This window comes from Homo sapiens, chromosome 1, assembly GCF_000001405.40.
Source record: "Homo sapiens chromosome 1, GRCh38.p14 Primary Assembly".
In the NCBI taxonomy this organism is placed as follows: Eukaryota; Metazoa; Chordata; class Mammalia; order Primates; family Hominidae; genus Homo; species Homo sapiens.
The window spans coordinates 175,038,772-175,058,214 of record NC_000001.11 but is presented as its reverse complement, the minus strand read 5'-3'; the positions used below and the strand labels follow the sequence as shown (position 1 = coordinate 175,058,214).

The following is a 19,443-nucleotide window of genomic DNA, read 5'->3' as shown; positions in this document are numbered from 1 at the left end:
TTTTGCATGTGGATATCCAATTGTCCCAGGAGCATTTTTGGGGAGGACTCTTCTTTCCACATTAAATTGTCCTGGCATTCTTTCCTGTTGAAAATCATAGTCACATGCACTTTTTTAAGTATTTAATTTACACTCCCATCAATAGTGTAAAAGCATCCCTATTTCTCTACATCCTCTCCAGTATCTGCTGTTTCCTGACTTTTTAATGATAGCCATTCTAACTGGCATGAGATGGTATCTCATTGTGGTTTCGATTTGCATTTCTCTGATGACCAGTGATGATAAGCTTTTTTCATATGTTTTTTGGCCACATAAATGTCTTCTTTTGAGAAGTACCTGTTCATATCCTTCACCCACTTTTTGATGGGGTTGTTTGTTTTTTCTTGTAAATTTGTTTAAGTTCCTTGTAGATTCTGGATATTAATACTTTGTCAGATGGATGGATTGCAAAATTTTTCTCCCATTCTGTAGGTTGCCTGTTCACTATGATGCTAGTTTCTTTTGCTCTGCAGAAGCTCTTTAGTTTAATAACATCCCATTTGTTAGTTTTGGCTTTTGTAGCAATTGCTTTTGGTGTTTTAGTCATGAAGTCTTTGCCCATGCCTATGTCCTGAATGGTATTGCCTAGGTTTTCTTCTAGGGATTTTATGGTTTTAGGTCTTACATTTAAGTCTTCAATCCATCTTGAGTTAATTTTTGTATAAGGTGTAAGGAACAGGTTCAGTTTCAGTTTTCTGAATATAGCTATCCAGTTTTCCCAACACCATTTATTAAATAGGGAATTCTTTCCCCATTGCTTGCTTTTGTCAGGTTTGTCAGAGATCAGATGGTTGTAGATGTGTGGTGTTATTTCTGAGGCCTATGTTCTGTTCCATTGGTCTATATATCTGTTTTGGTACCAGTACCATGCTATTTTGGTTACTGTGGCCTTGTAGTATAGTTTGAAGTCAGGTAGCATGATGCCTCCAGCTTTGTTCTTTTTGCTAAGATAGTGTGGTGATTCCTCAAGGATCTAGAACTAGAAATACCATTTGACCCAGCAATCCCATTACTGGGTATATACCCAAAGGATTATAAATCATTCTACTATAAAGACACAAGCACACATATGTTTATTGCAGCACTATTCACAATAGCAAAGACTTGGAACCAAGCCAAATGCCCATCAACAATAGACAGGATAAAGAAAATGTGGCACATACACACCATGGAATACTATGCAGCCATAAAAAAGAATGAGTTCATGTCCTTTGCATGGATATGGATGAAGCTGGAAACCATCATTCTCAGCAAACTAACACAGGAAGAGAAAACCAAACACCGTATGTTCTCACTCATAAGTGGGAGTTTAACAATGAGAATATATGGACACAGGGAAGGGAACATCACACACCAGGGCCTGTCAGCAGGTGGGGGGCAAGGGAACGGATAGCATTAGAAGAAATACCTAATGTAGATGACGGGTTGACGGGTGCAGCAAACCACCATGGCACGTGTATACCTATGTAACAAACCTGCACGTTCTGCACATATATCTCAGAACTTAAAGTATAATAAAAAATAAAAATAAAAAAATTAAACTATTTACCTCTACTCACCTGGAAGAAATGTTAATGTATTCTGTCTGTTGATTAGGAGCTCTAAGTCCAATTATTTATGTCTACATACCGGTGGGCCTGGTGCCTACTAGTTGTGGCTTCTGAGTGCCAAGTTCCCATAGCTCCTGAATAAGTGCTTTTTAAATAAATTGATCTTGAGGTTAATCAATTTAGTAAACATAGCATAATTTATTTCTGATCATGTTGATTATTCTGATTCAAGTGGATCTCTATAATCAGCCAAAAGGACCAAACCAACTTGTCAAGTTGACAGCCTTAGAGTTGAAATAGTGGAAGAATTCTTGGGAGGACAGTTGCCTACCAAGCATGACCACAATTTTGTCTGGTTGTTTACACCTCTTCCATGTGACTCGTATTAAATCCTGATCTATTCTAAGACAATCATAGTAATTCTAGTCTCCCTGACATTGTTTCATGTAGAAAAGAATGTTTGACCCAATTCTGTCAAATGAGGCTTCTGGAACAGTTTTCCAATATAGTAAGAGTTGGTCCTTCTCCTTCCAATGGTGGTTGTCACCCTTGCCTGGAATATGGCAGCCATTTTACTACTATGAGGGGAGCTGAACATGACAAAGGATGACAGAGAAGAAATATGGGAGGAATCTGGGTCCTCAATGACATTCTTGATCCCCTAAGTTAATCAATCTTGGTGCTTTCTTACCTTGGGATTTTTCATTCTCTGAGTATTTATTTCTTCATCATTTAAGCAAATTGGGTAAGGGTGCTGTCTTACTTGTGCTCAAATCATTCTAACCAACATAGACCCCCTAAGTTTTCACAGAAAATGCCCTTCAGACTGCAAAACTTCAAGAGGATGGTAAAACTGGACACAGTACATGGAAATTTGAAATTCTCCAAGAGTAGAGTTTCCAAACTAAGCCCCAGATGAAGCTTCCCTGAGATCTGCAAACAGTCCTGCCTTCTAGGCTGGGGATGATGGGAGAAGTATCATACATAGGTTGAATTTTTTGCACTGAGAAGGAGCTGAGAGAGTCCATAGATATAGGGGTCTCCTCCCTGACAGTGACCATCCTCCCTGAGGCTGCGACCTCCAGCTGGAGTGCTCACCATCCTGTAATGAAGGAAACTCCAGCAGTATGTTGCAGCCAGCATGTATGGCTTTCCAAAGATGATTATGCTCCGTGACATCACATTGGTAGCTTAAAAATCGGCCATTGTGGGAGTATTCATGCCATGGAAATCAGCAAATGGATTTTCCCCCTGGAAAGCCGGCTGTTAAATGTTACCAACACACCACTGGAAATTCCCTCTACATCGCTTCTGGGGATCAGAGGTTTCCTTATACAACCAAGGCATCCTAACATCTCCCAAATTTCATGGGTGTAAATCAAAAAGATGAAAGACCCCACTGTCCCTCCCTGAAGATGACTAACTGCTTAAAAATGATGGGAAAATCCACTTACTTTCCTTTCCTACTGAGTGGTAGTGGTACTGTCCTGTCTCAGATTTTCCTCCTAAGGCCATGCTGTTCAGGCTTTAAAAAACAAAACAAAACACAAGTTTGATTCCCCCTAATAGCCTAACTGCCAATGTTTGGGCTTTATTTTTCAGTCTTCTTAATTGTTTTCTCAGAGGATGGTATTACAGCAAGTCTGCTGTGTGGGCGATTGTTCCATTCCATGCAAGGGCAAAGCCACGGGTAATGACGAGGTCCTCTTGTGGAAGTGCTGAGGTCACCCATTTAAGGCCATCTGGTCCCTGAAAAATGAGTGTATAGGCAGCTTAGAGTGACTGGGGAACAGGATTCCCACAGGCACCTCTGCAGACCACCATCCCTCTGCCTCCTGCCTTCCCATCTCCCTCCAGCTCTACTCCCCTGTGGCCATTCCTAGCTTGGCCTCACAGGCTCTTCTTCTTCCCATGCTCTTGCCAAGTACAGGGCTGGAAAATGTTGGGAAGGGGGCAAAATTCATTATCAACACAGCATCATCCCCACTGGAGCTTAAAGCTCGAGACAGACATTTTTTTAAATTATGGAATATTTCAGGCAAACAAAAAGATATACGGAAGAGTGTTATAAACCCTCTTGTATCTTGTAAGCTGGGTAGGGTCCCAGCTTAGGAAAGAAAAGACATTACAAACACTTCCTGTGTATGTATCTCTGATACTTCCCTCTCTCCAAGAAAGAAACACTTTCCTGAAATTGGGATTATCATTCCAGTACATATCTTTATATTTTTATCACGTATGTCTATAGGTAGGTTTAAACAGTATATAGAATTGGTCCAAGTGTTTTTAAGCTTTATGTAAATAGTATCATTGTATGTCTCTTGATGCAACTTGCTTTATTTCTGTCAATATTATAGAGTTTTTTGTTTTGTTTTGGTTTGGTTTTTGGTTTTGTGTTTTTGTTTTTTGTTGTTGTCTGTTTGTTTGTTTGTTTGTTTGAGACAAAGTCTCACTCTTTTGCCCAGGCTAGAGTGCCGTGTTGTGATCATGGCTACTGCATCCTCAACCTCCCTTGCTCAAGCGATTCTCTCACCTCATCCTCCTGAGTAACTGAGACCACAGGCATGCACCACCATACCCAGCTAATTTTTTTAAGTTTTTTTGTACAGACGGGTCTCCCCGTGTTACCCAGGCTGGTCTCAAACTCTTGGCCTCAAGTGATCCTCCTGCCTTGGCCTCCCAAAGTGTTGGGATTACAGGCATGAACCATTGCACCTGGCCCAATATTATGTTTTTATCCATGTTTGTGTTTATTTCTTATTGCTGCATAACAAACTGCTACAAATGTGGTGGCTGAAAACAACACATATTTATTGTTTCACAGTTTGTGTGGCTCAGAAGCCCAGGTGTGGCTTAGCTGGGTCCCCTGCTCAGGATCTCACAGTTGCAGTCAAGGTGCTGCCTGGGCTCCAATCTCATCTAGAGAAGCTGGCTGGAGAAGAACTCACTTCCAAGCCCTTCAAGGTTTTGGCATAACTCATTTCCTTGATTCTATGTGGCCGAGGGTCTCAGCTTCTAAAAGTTGCTCACAGTTCCTTGCCATGTGGCCCTCTTTCTGGGCAGTTCATGTCACAGCAGCATGCTTTTTCAAGGCCATAAGAAGTCTCTCGCTCTAGTCTGCTACAACGGAGTCTTACATAGTATAAAGACCTATCCCATCACTTTTGTCATATTCTATGGATTAGCATCAAGTTACAGGTTCTTCCCATGCTCAAAGGGAGGGGATTACAAAAAGGATGGACACCAGCAGGTAGGAGTCATTGGGATCTGTCTATCTGCCTGGATCTGTCTGTCTGCCTAAGATCTGTCTGCCATACTATTGATACATGTGACTCAAGTCCATTTATTCCTGTTGCTATGTTCTAAGCATGGAGGAAAGACCAGGTGAGGACAAAGAAAGCAGCTGGCCATCTACATGCCAAAGAGTAAGCCTTCCAAGGGAATCAACCCTACTGACACCTTTATCTCAGACTTCCAGCCTCCAGAAGTGCAAGAAAATAAATTTCTGTTGTTTAAGCCACACAACCTCTGGTACTTTGTTATGGCCACTCATGCAAACAAATATAGGAAACACTGGTGTACCAGTCAGAACATTAAGTTTTCTTATCTGCAAATGTGGGCTATCTCTCCATTTATTCTTCATTATCTCTCCATTTAATATTATTGGTTTATTTTCTACTGGCAAGGTTCTATAGGTTTCTCCATAAGCATCTTAATATATCTTTTGTTAGATTTATTCTAAGTTACTTTATATTTTTGGTTTTATTCCCTTACTAATTCTAATAACTTTTTCGTAGATTTTCACAAGTTTCTCTAAAAAATATCATGTGAAAATGACAGTTTGATTCCCTTCCTTTCTATTCTTATATTTTTGCACAAAATTGAATAGGAGTACTGAAAGCTGCTATCCTTGTTTTAATCTTGATCTTCAAGGGTATACTTCTAAAGTTTCAAGGTCACATGTTTTTCTGAAGGGACTTTTGCCCCCTAACATCCTGCAGCAGATGCTGAGTAAATCAACCCCTATTGCTCCCTTTCTCTTACCCCTTCTCTCTCCTTGCCCTCCATTACAATCTATCTGTTCTGAGCTACACATCTTGAAAATAAAGTGAATTGATGCGGCAATTCACACTAAGATGCTTCTGGCTGATCAATGATCAAATGACACATACCCATTTGCGGGGGGGATGTCTAGACCCAAGAGATAACTGTGACTGCTGGGGCCTGAGTATAAACATCTCAGATCACAGCAGTCATGGAAAACACCCACAGGCCCACTTTACAACTACCTCTTAAAATTATCATTTCTTTGGCACTTGCTCTCTGGGTAGCCAGATCAGACTAGCTCAGATGAACCAAGAGAAATTCCAGAAGATGGAAACTTAATTTCTCCCCTAATTTTGATCAAACTACCCAGACTCACACTTCAGTCCCACCATTTATTGATGTGGCCTTGGGCAAGGTTCTTCTCTCCTGCCCCAGTAGCCTGACCTGTCAAATGGGGATCATAGTAGCACATTCCTACCCACAGGTTTTGTGAGGATTAAATGAATATTAATATAACTCACTTGGAACAGTGCTGGGCACACAGTAAACCCTCAGTAAACGTTAGCTAAACCCATGGGATGGCCACCACTGCACCTCTTCAGTTACTTAGTAGATTTTATATTTCTTTCCTTTTTCCTTAAAATCTCAAAATACAGTATTTAAATGTTATTCTATCCCCTATATGTTCTACCCTGCAGCCTGGCATAGAATACTGCTCTAGTCTGTTTGTAAAAGTTCATCCAACCCCACCTTTCAACAGTCACATTACCACTCTCCTTTTCTTTTTTTTTCCCTAATATTTAAGGTCAGATGCCATGAGCTTCTAGGCCAGGTTTCTGCAGTAAATGAAGTGCTGAGCAAGAAGAAAGCAATCCTGAAAGGACCATGCTGACCTTGACAATAGTCAAGGAGGCTATAAATGCTGGCATGCTGGAGAGAACCCCAGACAGGGCCTGGTTCACAGCCCTGTCTTCTAGAAACTCTAGGGGCCTCAGTAGACATGGTGACTTCGATGATATCTGGGCCAGGGTCACAGAGAGTAACGGTGGAATGGGGAATGTCCAGCCTTACTTCTTTTCAGTAAGACCCATCAGGCATTGAACTTACTAGGCTGTAACCTCTTGGAGGGCAGAGAGCTGCCATGCTCATTGACCACATTATCTCAACATCTAGCACCATGCGTGGTACCTACTAGGCACTAGCAGATGGACACAAGTTTATAGTAATTTCCCCCGGCATCCAACCCCATCAAAGCCTAATGCAGTTCTAGCTACACAATAGATGGTTAATAAATACTGGTGAATTCTTCAAGTGGTGGTTGGTTGTGCTGCAAAATTAGTGTTATCACTTCGGTGAGCTGAGTTACTGGTAGGTATTCACCTGTCTTGCAACATTCTTCTGTTATATTACACAAGTACACACATCCTCAGTAAACCACTGTAGAGGAGAAGGTTAAGTCACTAGAAAGATACAGCTCTGTCCACTAAGATAGGCATTTTTTCAACAGTAATGAAGTATTGGATGTTACTGTCTTTCTCAGCAGCAGCAGATATGTATTGAGGAACTAAGCCAGGCAAAGCACTGTGCCACATAAGGAGATACAAAGAGGCATAGGACATAGCTCTAGCCCATGAGGGAGTTCAGGTGAGGCATCAAGAGAAAGAAGCACTAACACAGAATGAGCTAGAAAGGAACAAAGGCACAATGGTCAGAACTCAAGTTTGCCTCTTTTAGAAAATCCAGAGCTTCTGGAACTGCAGAAAGCCACCATTGATAATTCCAGCTGCCGACAACAGCAAAGCAGGAAAATTTCAGAGGAAACCTCTGCCACACATGTGCCTCCTCAACCAGAAGAGCGACGAAATGCTTCTGCTGCCTTTCTTACTCCAGATCTCAGGTGAATGCCTCTCATTGGTGGAATCTAACTGGGAACACTGCCAGCAAAGTATTCAGGGACATGTGGTTCTCCGGCTTTCAACCCCTGAGATGAGGGTGGAGTGCAGAAGGAATGGCATGATGTTGTCCACAGACAATTAAGCACAAAAGATTTCTAAGTGTAACTATAGAAAAATAAATTCTAAGGCAGTTAACCTTTGCTGAGGACCTCAAGAGCAATACAATCTGTGCTTAAAGATAGGTGTTATCATGAGAGCTGGGGCCTTTGAAGAAGGCTTTGGGTAGAGTCAGAACCTAAGACAAGGCTTTGTTGAGTAGGGAAGGAAAAAGAAGAAGAGTGCATGGAGATGAATACTCAAGCATTTATTCTGTTGCTCACTCATGCAATTAGCCTTACATTCAGCAAACATTTATTGCTAAGCATTAGGCTAGGTAACTGGAATCCTAGACAGTGAGAAGCCACTGAGGCTTTTTAAGAAAGGAAATAATTTGATGAGATTTTTAGTGTAGAAAGATCATTTCGAAAACATATATGGGCTTAGACAAAGCTGAAAGGACGTGCACCTCAATGTTACAATGCTTGTCTCTGAATGGGAAAAACGTGATTAAATGTTACTTTCTTTCCTGCATGTCTCATATTTTTTAAATATCATACAATGAGTATGGATTACTTTCTAACAGAAAAAAATTTTTCAAGTAAGAAGATAGAAATATCAAACTTTTCACAGCGTGGAGGAGGCTCATCACACATTTTGTCATCCGACGGTTCCAAAGACTAGGATACCCTACACTTCCCCTCACCTTCTCCTTCTCCTAATTGCCTCTTACTCATTCCCCAGTTTTCAACTGAAACTTTGCTTCACTGAAAAGCTTTGCTTGACACCTAAGGCTAAGTTAGCTCTCCAAGTTTTTACACTCTTGTTCCCTAGGGTTCTCGCACCATTTGTGATACTTAGAAGTATGGAATGTCTGTCTTTCCCACCAGAACATAAGCCCCATGAGGGCAGGATCACAGATGTTTCCCAAGCACAGTGGTCCCTCCATTAAATATCATTGGAATTAATCAATATGGCTTTACAGGGTATAAGACTGGAGACAGACAGACCAGTAGGAAGGCAGTTATGGTCATCTTGACAAGGGACGGAGAGTACCTATACTGAATAAAGGGCAGAGCAATGGAGGGGAGGAAGAGCTATGGAGATGTTACAGAAAAGAATCTGCAGAACCTAGTGACTACTTGGATTCATTCAACAAGAAACAGAGGCTTGGGGAAAATTTTGGAGATAGAACCGATAGGACTTGCTGAAGGATTAGATACTGGAATGATGGAAAGAGAGAGAGAGATCAGGGAGACTTCAAGAGTTTTGTCTTGAGCAGCTGGATGTATGGTGATAAAATTTTCTGAGATGGAGATGGCAATTGTTAGAGGGAGGGATAAGAGTTGCAATTTCAGATGAGAAGTAAGGAGTGGGAAGAAACGCAGGGTGAATCCCAGATTTTGGCTTGTGGGTCATTCTTTTAGACTAAAAATACAGTAAGTGAACTAAGCTCAAGGAAAAAAACTGAATTTGGTTTTGGACAAGTTGAGTTTGAAGTGCCCATTGAGACATCAAAAATATATGCAATTATCCAGGTCTAGAATTCAGGAGAGATTTCTAGATGTAGACAAACATATGGACTTGGTGATTATAGTAAAGCCATCCAGGTAAATAAGAACGTACATAAGATGAAAAGGGCAGAAAAAGACCAACATCAAAACTTTTGGGAAACTGATATTTATGAGGAAAAGGTGCCCTAAAAGGAAATTGAAAAGGAATTGTCAGAAAGGTGAGAATATCAGGAAATTATATGAAACAAGGAGCATCATTTTAATCAAGGCAAGAGTTATAAGAAGTGAGCAATACATTGAGTGACAAGTAGGAGCCAGATGCTGGAGATCCTTAAATGCCAGGGAACACACATCCACTGAAAATAAAGGGATGAAAAAAGATATTCCATGCCAATGGAAACAAAAAAAAAAAGAGCAGGAGTTGCTATACTTCTATCAGACAAAATAGATTTCAAAAAAAAAAACAACTATAAGAAGAGACAAACAAGGTCACTATACAATGATTAAGGGGTCTTAGGAGGTGGAGTTTGCAATCAGCTGAGATTGCACCACTGCACTCCAGCCTGGGCAACAGAATGAGACTCCGCTCAAAAAAAAAATGATAAATAAGTCAATTCAGCAAGAGGAGATAACAATTTTGAATAAATGTGCACCCAACACTGGAGCACCCAGATATATAAAGTAAATATTGTTAGAGCTAAAGAGAGAGATAGGCCCTGATACAATAATAGCTGGAGACTTCAACACCTCACTTTCAGCATTGGACAGATCTTCCAGACAGAAAATAAACAAAGAAACAAACATTAATCGGCACTATAGACCAAATGGTTCTCATAGATATTTACAGAATACTTCATCCAACGGCTGCAGGATACATATTCTCCTCAGCACGTGGATCATTCTCAAGGATAGATCACATGTTAGGTCACAAAACAAGTCTTAAAACATTAAAAAAATTGAAATAATATCAAGCATCTTCTCTGACCACAATGGAATAAAACTAGAAATCAATAACAAGAATAATTTTGGAAACTATACAAATACATGCAAATTAAACAATATGCTCCTGAATGACCAGTCAATGAAGAAATTAAGAAGGAATTTGAAAATTTCTTGAAACAAATGATAATGAAAACACAACATACCAAAACTATGGGATATAGTAAAAGCACTACTAAGAGGGAATTTTATAGTTAAAAGTGCCTACATTGAAAAAGAAGAAAAACTTCAAATAAACAACCTAACAATGCATCTTAAAGAACTAGAAAAGCAAGAGCAAAACAAACCCAAAATTAGTAGCAGAAATGAAATAATAAAGATCAGAGAAGAAATAAATAAAATTAAAATGAAGAAAACAATACAAAAGATAAAAGAAACAAAAAGTTGGTTTTTTAAAAAGTTAAACAAAATAGAGGCTGGGTGTGGTGGCTCATGCCTGTAATCCCAGCACTTTGGGAGCCCAGGGCAGGAGGATCACTTGAGGTCAGGAGTTTGAGGCAAGCTTGGGCAACATGGTGAAACCCTGTCTCTATAAAATATACAAAAATCAGCTGGGCGGGGTGTCCATGCCTGTAATCCCAGCTACTTGGGAGGCTAAGGCAAGAGATTCACTTGAACCTGGGAGGCAGAGGTTGTAGCAAGCCGAGATCATGCCACTGCACTTCAGCCTGGGTGACAGAACAAGACTCTGTCTCAAAAAAAAAAAAAAAAAAAAAAAAAAAAAAAAAAAAAAAAAAAAGACAAACCTTTAGCCAGATTAAGAAAAAGAAGATAAACAAACAAATAAAATCAGAAATGAAAAAGGAGGCATTACAACTGATACCACAGAAATTCAACAGATTATTAGTGGCTACTATGAACAACCATATGCCAATAAATTGGAAAATCTAGAAGAAATGGACAAATTCCTAGACACATAAAACCTCCCCAGGTTGAACCATGAAGAAATCCAAAACCTGAACAGATCAATAACAAGCAACAAGATCGAAACCATAATAAAAAGTCTCCCAGTAATGAAAAGCGCAGGACTTAACTTCACTGTTGAATTCTATCAAACATTTAAAGAAGAAATAATACCAATCCTATTCAAACTATTCCAAAAATAGACGAGTAGGGAATACTTACAAACTCATTCTGAGGTTAGCATGATACCAAAACCAAACAAAGACACATCAAAAAAAAAAGAAAACTACATGCCAATATCTGATTAATATTGGTGCAATAATCCTCAACAAACTACTACCATACCAAATTCAACAATACATTAAAAAGATCATTCATCAGGTGGGCGTGGTGGCTCACGCCTGTAATCCCAGCACTTTGGGAGGCCAAGGCGGGCGAATCACGAGGTCAGGAGATCAAGACCATCCTGGCTAACACGGTGAAACCCCGTCTCTACTAATAATACACAAAATTAGCCGGGTGTGGTCGCAGGCACCTGTAGTCTCAGCCACTCGGGAGGCTGAGGCAGGAGAATGGCGTGAACCCGGGAGGCGGAGCTTACAGTGAGCCGAGATCGCGCCACTACACTCCAGCCTGGGTGACAGAGAGAGACTCCGTCTCAAAAAAAAAAAAAAAAATCATTTATCATGACCAAGTGGAATTTATCCCTGGGATGCAAGAATAGTTCAACATACACACATCAATCAGTGTGATACATCATATCAACAGAATGAAGGACAAAAATGATATGATCATTTTAATTGATGCTGAAAAAGCATTTGATAAAATTCGACGTCCCTTCATGATAAAAACCCTCAAAAAACCAGATATAGAAGGAACATACCTCAACATAATAAAAGCCATGTATGACAGACCCACAGCTAGTATCATACTGAATGGGGAAAAACAAAAAGCCTTTCCTGTAAGACCTGGAGAATGACATGGATGCCCACTGTCATCACTGTTATTCAACATAGTACTGGAAGTCCTAGCTACAGCAATCAGACAAGAGAAAGAAATAAAAGGCATCCAAATTGGAAAGGAAGAAGTCAAATTACCTTTGCTTGCAGATGATATGATCTCACATTTGGAAAAACCTGAAAACTTCACCAAAAAACTATTAGAACTGATAAATTCAGTAAAGCTGCAGAACAGAAAATCAATATACAAAAATTAGCATTTTTAGTAGCATTTCTATATGCCAACAGTGAAATCTGAGAAAGAAATTTAAAAAGTAATCCCATCTAATAATAGCTACAAATAAAATCAAATACCTAAGAAATGGAGAGGCTCGGAGGAGCGGGGGCGGCCGAGCAGTGGGCGACTGGGGCGGCTACACTGGCCGCGGCACTGGCGGAGCCCGGGCCATGGAGCCGCCGCTGCCGGGCTAGGCAGGTCCTGCCCCGCCGGGCCCGCGGCGATGTCGGGCTACCCGCGCCGCCCGGGCGCCACCCCGCTGTCCCGAGCCCGGAGCCTCGCCATTCCCGACGATGACAAATTTGAAGATCTTGAAGAGGCAAATCCATTCTTCTTTAAAGAGTTTCTGAAGACCAAGAACCTCCGCCTGTCAAAAGAGGACCCAGCCAGCAGAATTTATGCAAAGGAAGCCTCGAGGCATTCACTGGGACTTGACCACAACTCCTCACCCTCCCAAACCGGGGAGTATGGCCTAGAGTATCAGCAGCCATTTTTCGAGGACCCGACAGGGGCCAGTGACCTCCTGGATAAGGAGGAGGATGAGGACACCAGATGGAGTGGGGCCTACCTGCCGTCCGCCATCAAGCAGACTCACCCCGAGAGGGTCCCTGCCGCCACGTTGCCCTGCAGCACATACCTTTCCTTTTTCTCCACCCCGTCGGAGCTGGCAGGGCTTCAGTCTCTGCCCCCGTGGGCGTTGAGTGGCACTGATTCTCGTGCCTCCGGCCTCTCCGGCAGGGAGTCCTAGCGCAGACTTTGCGGCTCATGGAGAGTCTCTGGGAGACAGGCACCTGCGGACGCTGCAGATAAGTTATGAAGCATTGAAAGATGAAAATTCTAAGCTGAGGAGAAAGCTGAATGAGGTTCAGAGCTTCTCTGAAGCTCAAACAGAAATGGTGAGGACACTTGAGCGGAAATTAGAAGCAAAAATGATCAAGGAGGAAAGCGACTACCACGACTTGGAGTCGGTGGTTCAGCAGGTGGAGCAGAACCTGGAGCTGATGACCAAACGGGCTGTAAAGGCAGAAAACCACGTCGTGAAACTGAAACAGGAAATCAATTTGCTCCAGGCGCAGGTCTCCAACTTCCAGCGAGAGAATGACGCCCTGCAGTGCGGCCAGGGCGCCAGCCTGACAGTGGTGAAGCAGAACGCCGACGTGGCCTTGCAGAACCTCCGGGTGGTCATGAACAGCGCACAGGCTTCCATTAAGCAACTGGTTTCCGGAGCTGAGACAGTGAATCTGGTTGCTGAAATCCTTAAATCTATAAACAGAATTTCTGAAATTAAAGACGAGGAGGAAGACTCTTGAGGACCCCTGGGTGTTCTCAGCATGAAGCTCCTTGTATGCCCTGAAATCACCACCGCTTGATCTAAATGTGCAGTTGCGTCCTTAAATATGCAGTCTTTACCCAGAGTAAAGTGTTTATCGCAAGGGTCCAGTGTCGTGACCTCAGCCAGTTCTTGGCCACTGCAATGGGAGCAGCCCTGGCCGAGTTGCCTCTGTGGTTTCTATGCAGCCCTTCTTGGCGAAATTCCTGCGATCTTACAGATTCTAATGAGGAAGACACTGTCATAAAAGCCAAAGATTTTAAGAAAAAGAGCGGTTCTGGAATCAGTGTTTTCCAGTCCCATCCCAGAACATCAGTTGTAAGATAAGTACAATTGATTGTCCTTGATTTCATAAGTAGAACAAACACTAAATGTGCCTCTGAGACGGCGATCCTGGGCAGGGACCTGTGCCTTACGCCGACACTCAGGGCTCCCTCTGGCTCCCAGGTCACTCCTGTGGCCCCAGAGGGCGGTCCGTGCGGTCATGGCCCGAGTGCGCAGGGGCCACCGCGTGGCTGCTGCTGTCCTCCCCCAGGACCCACGGGGACCAAGGTCACACATTCTGTGCTGTGAAGCTGTCCAGATGCGCGTCTTTGGCTGGGGGTTCTGGTGGACGTTTCAAGTGGCATTTTGTACAATGCAGTTTAGAATTCAGGAATTTCAAGTATGTGCAGAGCCCACCCGGGTCTGTGAGGTCCCAGCTGCCTTTCTGACGGCCTCCCGCAGAGGGAAGGCCACGAGTACTAAATGCCTTTTTTCCTATAGATTTTTTTTTAAACTTTTTTTCCCTCCTGTTCCAATTGATAGCCTTCTTATTTAATAAATTCTGTAGTTCACAAAAAAAACCTAGGAATTAACCAAAGAAGTGAAAGACATCCATAATAAAAACTATAAAACACCGATTAAAGAAATTGAAGAAGACACCAAAAAATGGAAAGATATTCCATGTTCATTAATGGGAAAAATCAACGTTGTTAAAATGTCCATACTACCCAAAGCAATCTACAGATTCAATACAATCCCTATCAAAAAACCAGAGACATTCATCACAGAAATAGAAAAAACAATCGCACAATTTATAAGCAACCACAAAAGACCCAGAATAGCGAAACTATCCAAAATAAAAGGAACAAATCTGGAGGAATCACATTACCCGACTAAAAATTATACTACAAAGCTAAAGTAACAAAAACAACATGGTATTGGCATAAAAACAGACACATAGACGAATGGAGCAGAATAGAGAACCCAGAAACAGATTGATGCACCCACAGTGAACTTATTTTTTACAAAGGTGCAAAGAACACACTGGGGAAAAGACAGCCTCTTCAATAAATGGTGCTGGGAAAACTGGATATCTATATACAGAAGAATGAAACTAGACCTCTATCTCTTGCCATACACAAAAATCAATTCCAAATAGTTTAAAGACTTAAATCTAAGACCTCAAACTATGAAACTACTAAAAAAAACATTGGGGAAAATGTCCAGGACATTGGTCTGGGAAAAGACTTCTTGAGTAATATCCCACAAGCACAGACAATCAAAGCAAACATGGACAAATGGGATCACATCAAGTTAAAAAGCTTCTGTGCAGCAAAGGAAGCAATCCATAAAGTAAAGAGACAACCCAACAAATGGGAGAAAACATTTGCAAACGACCCATCTGACAAGGGATTAATACCTGGAATATATAAGGAGCTCAGACAACTCTATAGGAAAAGATCTAATAATCCAATTTTTAAAAGGGCAAAAAGCTGAATAGACATTTCTCAGAAGAAGACATAAAAACGGCAAACAGACATATGAAAAGGTGCTCAACATCATTGATCATCAGAGAAATGCGAATCAAGACTATAATGAAATATCATCTCACCCCAGTTAAAATGGCTAATATCCAAAAGACAGGCAATAACAAATGCTGGCAAGGATATAGAAAGAAGAGAACCCTTGTACATGGTTGGTGAGAATGTAATTTAGTACAACCACTATGGATAACAGTTTGGAGTTTTCTCAAAAAACTAAAAATAGAGCTACCATATGATCCAGCAATCCCACTGCTGGGTAGATGCCCTAAAGAAAGGAAATCAGTATTTCAAAAAGGCATCTGCACTCCTATATTTACTACAGCACTGTTGACAATACCTAAGATTAGGAAGCAACCTAAGTGTCCGTCAACAGAATGAATAAAGAAAATATGGTACATATATGGAGTACTTCAGCCATAATAAAAGAATGAAATTCTGTTATCTGCAACAACGTGGATGGAACTGGAGGTCATTATATTAAGAGAAGTAAGCCAGGTACAGAAAAACAGACATTGCATGTTCTCACTTATTTCTGGGATCTAAAAATCAGAGGATGATTAATGGGTACAAAAAAGTTAGAAAGAATGAATAAAGTTGAGTGCAGTGGCTCATGCCTGTAATTCCAGCACTTTGGGAGGCCGAGGTGGGCAGATCACTTGAGGCCAGGAGTTCGAGACCAGCTTAGCCAACATGGCGAAACCCCGTCTCTACTAAAAATACAAAAATTAGCCAAAGGTAGTGGTACACACCTATAATCCCAACTACTATGGAGGCTGAAACACGAGAATTGCTTGAACCCAGGAGGCAGAGGTTGCAGTGAGCCAAAATCACACCACGGCACTCCAGCCTGGGCGACAGAGAAAAAAAAAAAGAATAAGACCTAGTATTCAATAGCACAACAGGGTGACTACAGTCAATAACAATTTAATTGTACATTTTAATATAACTGAAAGAGTATAATTGGATTGTTTGTAACACAAAGGATAAATGCATGAGGGGATGGATGCCCCATTTTTCATGATGTGACTATTATGTATTGTATGCCTGTATCAAAATATTTTATGTACCCTATAAATATATATGCCTACTAAAACCCACAAAAAGTAAAATAAAAATATTTTTAAAATAAAAAAATAAAATAAAATAAATCCCAGGGAAGAGGTTGACTCTTTACCCAGCTCCTCCATGATGAGTAGTGATGATGGGTGTATTGGATGTGCTGGCTATTGCCGGCTGAGCCTCCCAGCCCTGCAGGGGAATTAAAAAACAATGTGGGCCAAGGGTCCAGAATCTGAGATTTGGAGGAAGGAAGTAGAGAATGACTTTTTAAGAATATATTTCTCGTCAAAAAATATGTCATATAAACCAAATCACCACTGACTTGGATAAGCTGAAAAGTAAAACCCAGAATTTCAAGAGCTGTCATTATTTTGCTTGGTTCTTCTAATCAGACCTTCAGCAATGACAGAGGACAAAAAAACATCCCCCAGGAATCCTGCTGGTCTAGCCAAGTCCAAAACTAACCACGGCTCATCCAATAGCCTCTACCATGAGCCTCTGTTGTAGAGCTCTGGCGCCACATGGACCATGGAACTTTTTGTTTATGTTCCAGAAGGAGCCGTCAGGCAAGTGCAGAAAAAGATCCGTGCACCTTTCCATTACAATGTTCCATAAGAAGAAGATGGCCTGAGGCAAGGGGAAAGCAGACATCATGACTCTTTTAAACTTTGGCAGCCTTACCTTCTACCATGCCACTGTGGTTTTGGGAGAGGTTTAAAACTAAGCTTCAAAAACAATTACAAAGGAAGGATCTGGATAAACATAACCACACAGGGAGACAGAGATGAGGCGGGTCTGTGCAGAAGACATTGGGGTGCATGGAGAGTGTGTGAGCATGAACGTGGGGGAAGGCACCTCAGCTGACGTCTTAGTGGATAGCGTGTATTAGGGAATCTGTATGTCACCAGAGTATGTGCCTCTCTGTTTGAACTGGAAAAGCAAATAGCAATTCAGACTGACAGAAAGATGGTTAGTAACTGGCAGCGTGTTTATGAACATCTGCATGAAACTGTGCTTGGCATAAACACGTTGCAGACACACAATGTGTGGTTGCTTTCAAATAGTCCCAAAGTTCTGAACACTGACAGAAGCCAGAAGCTGCAGAGACTCAACTGAGGGATGAACTAGATCCATCTGCTGCCCCAGGAATGGCTGGCCTGAGAACTCTGTGCTTGAGAACCTGGCTGGGGAGACAGAGAACAAAGAGCAAGGTAAACACAGCTGATGGGGAAGCTCTTTGATCAAAGCTTTGGCCAACCTTCCCCCTAGCCCCCAGTTTCACTCCACACTGGGTTCCTCTTCCCAGTGGAAGGTGAGTGAATAGGCAGAGAAATCTTAAAGAGAGAGACCACCTCCAGGGATGCAAAAGCCAGAGCCTGCACAGCCTTGATCTCCTGAAGCTCAAGAAGCTGTGGGTGAGCTGAGCCCTCTACACTTCCTTCCCAGTGAGAGAAGACAGGCCCTTTCTTTCTCTTGGCTTTGTGGTGAGGCCTAGTGTCTCCAGTGGGATCAAAGAGGCAAAGAAAGAAGCTCACAGGTGAAGAGGAACCAAGAAGGGGTCAAGGATAACAATTAGTCCTAAAAGTAAGGTAGGTCTAAGGCTAAAGTTATGGCACCAAAGCCAATGGAAGAAGAGGAAGATCTACACCAAAGAGACAACCTCTACCAGCTCTGTCCAGTCCTGCCCTGTCCAGCGAACTACTTCTGGGTGCTACAAAAGCCAAGAAGACATGATTTGTAAGCTCCTGAAGCTCACTGGTTTCTAGACAGCAGGCGATTACAAAGCCCAATAATACATGAGTGCCGGAGGTGAGTGCAGGGTGCTAGGAGCAAACAGAGGAGCAATCCTAACCTTGCTTGGAGTCCCGAGGAAAGCCTCCTGGAGGAGACGGGTATAGGTTCTTTGAGGGCAGGAACAATACTGTGTACATGCATGCACACGCATGTACACGTGTGTGATATGCACCCTCCACATCCCTGCACAATATTTTGCATATGGTAGATACTTAATAAAGGTGAATCCTAATTCTTGAGTGAATTCAAGAATTAATTATTTTTTCTACTATGTCTGTGAACACTCCTCTGCTTTCTTCCTAAATCTTCTTCCTCTTCTTTTCCTTTGCTGGAAATATCCAAAGAGCTTCATTTGGGGGTAAAATCCAGCAATCTGAATGTCAATAAGTTATAGAAACGGCCATTTTATGACATTAGACAAAATGAGAGAAAAGTATACTTGTAGCCCCAGTTAGAATGAGAAATCACCATCGTTATGCTCATCATAGAGCATTTGTTCAATACTCACTGTGTGCTAGTTGCTATTTTAAGTGCTTTAAGTATGAATTTTGCTAAATCCTTTAATCCCCACAGCAGCCCAGTGAGGTGAGGAGTATTGCAGGTTTAGACTCTTACACACAGAGGGGTCGTGTAACTTGCTCAAGGTCCCAGGGCAAGCAGATGGTCGAGCCAACACAGTCTGGCTCCAGAGTCTGTAACTCATACTACATCCCACCCTCAGGACTGAAAACTTGAAAATTCAAGCATCTGGAATTTACACTGTAATGTATAGACCAGAGATCGCTCATTATTTAAAAACCTTTTGAGGCTGCATAATCTCCACCGGTTCATTTTTCTCTGACACCCTCTGTTTCCCTGTAGGGACTGACAAGTACTAAATTCAAAGAGCTTTATAGTTGGTATCTTTTGCCCAGGCTTTTATTCCAGTGATAATAAATGTACAGCATAAAAAAAAGATACTGTTAGAACCATGGGACTCATCCTTTTCTCCATCAGATAGTAGGGACAAGTCAAAATCCTACTGCATTCTGGCAATACGAGGTCAAGAAGGCCTGGGCACCAGGATAAAAGACCATAATAGCAGAACAGGCTTTCTTGGCCCCAGGTAAGTGTTTGTGCTTTGGTCTCACCATCTGAAAAATGGAGCTGATGATCTTTCAGCCTCATTAGTGC

General features: G+C 41.8%; 1 pseudogene, besides 3 other annotated features; it reads left to right on the top strand.

Moving 5' to 3' along the window:
- Positions 2,556-3,755: an enhancer, noted in NCBI's record as "P300/CBP strongly-dependent group 1 enhancer chr1:175023596-175024795 (GRCh37/hg19 assembly coordinates)". NCBI's record gives its function as "activates an origin of replication core promoter dependent on BRD2, BRD4, P300/CBP, MED14 and CDK7 cofactors, with strong dependence on P300/CBP, by STARR-seq in HCT116 cells {active_cell/tissue: HCT116}" and the evidence as "EXISTENCE:reporter gene assay evidence [ECO:0000049][PMID:35650434]".
- ENTR1P2 (ENTR1 pseudogene 2) lies at positions 12,367-13,786 on the top strand (annotated as a pseudogene).
- Positions 13,585-14,120: an enhancer, noted in NCBI's record as "H3K27ac-H3K4me1 hESC enhancer chr1:175013231-175013766 (GRCh37/hg19 assembly coordinates)". NCBI's record gives its function as "activates a minimal SCP1, AML or CMV promoter by ChIP-STARR-seq in primed H9 embryonic stem cells {active_cell/tissue: H9 hESC(primed)}" and the evidence as "EXISTENCE:reporter gene assay evidence [ECO:0000049][PMID:30033119]".
- Positions 14,121-14,656: an enhancer, noted in NCBI's record as "H3K27ac-H3K4me1 hESC enhancer chr1:175012695-175013230 (GRCh37/hg19 assembly coordinates)". NCBI's record gives its function as "activates a minimal SCP1, AML or CMV promoter by ChIP-STARR-seq in primed H9 embryonic stem cells {active_cell/tissue: H9 hESC(primed)}" and the evidence as "EXISTENCE:reporter gene assay evidence [ECO:0000049][PMID:30033119]".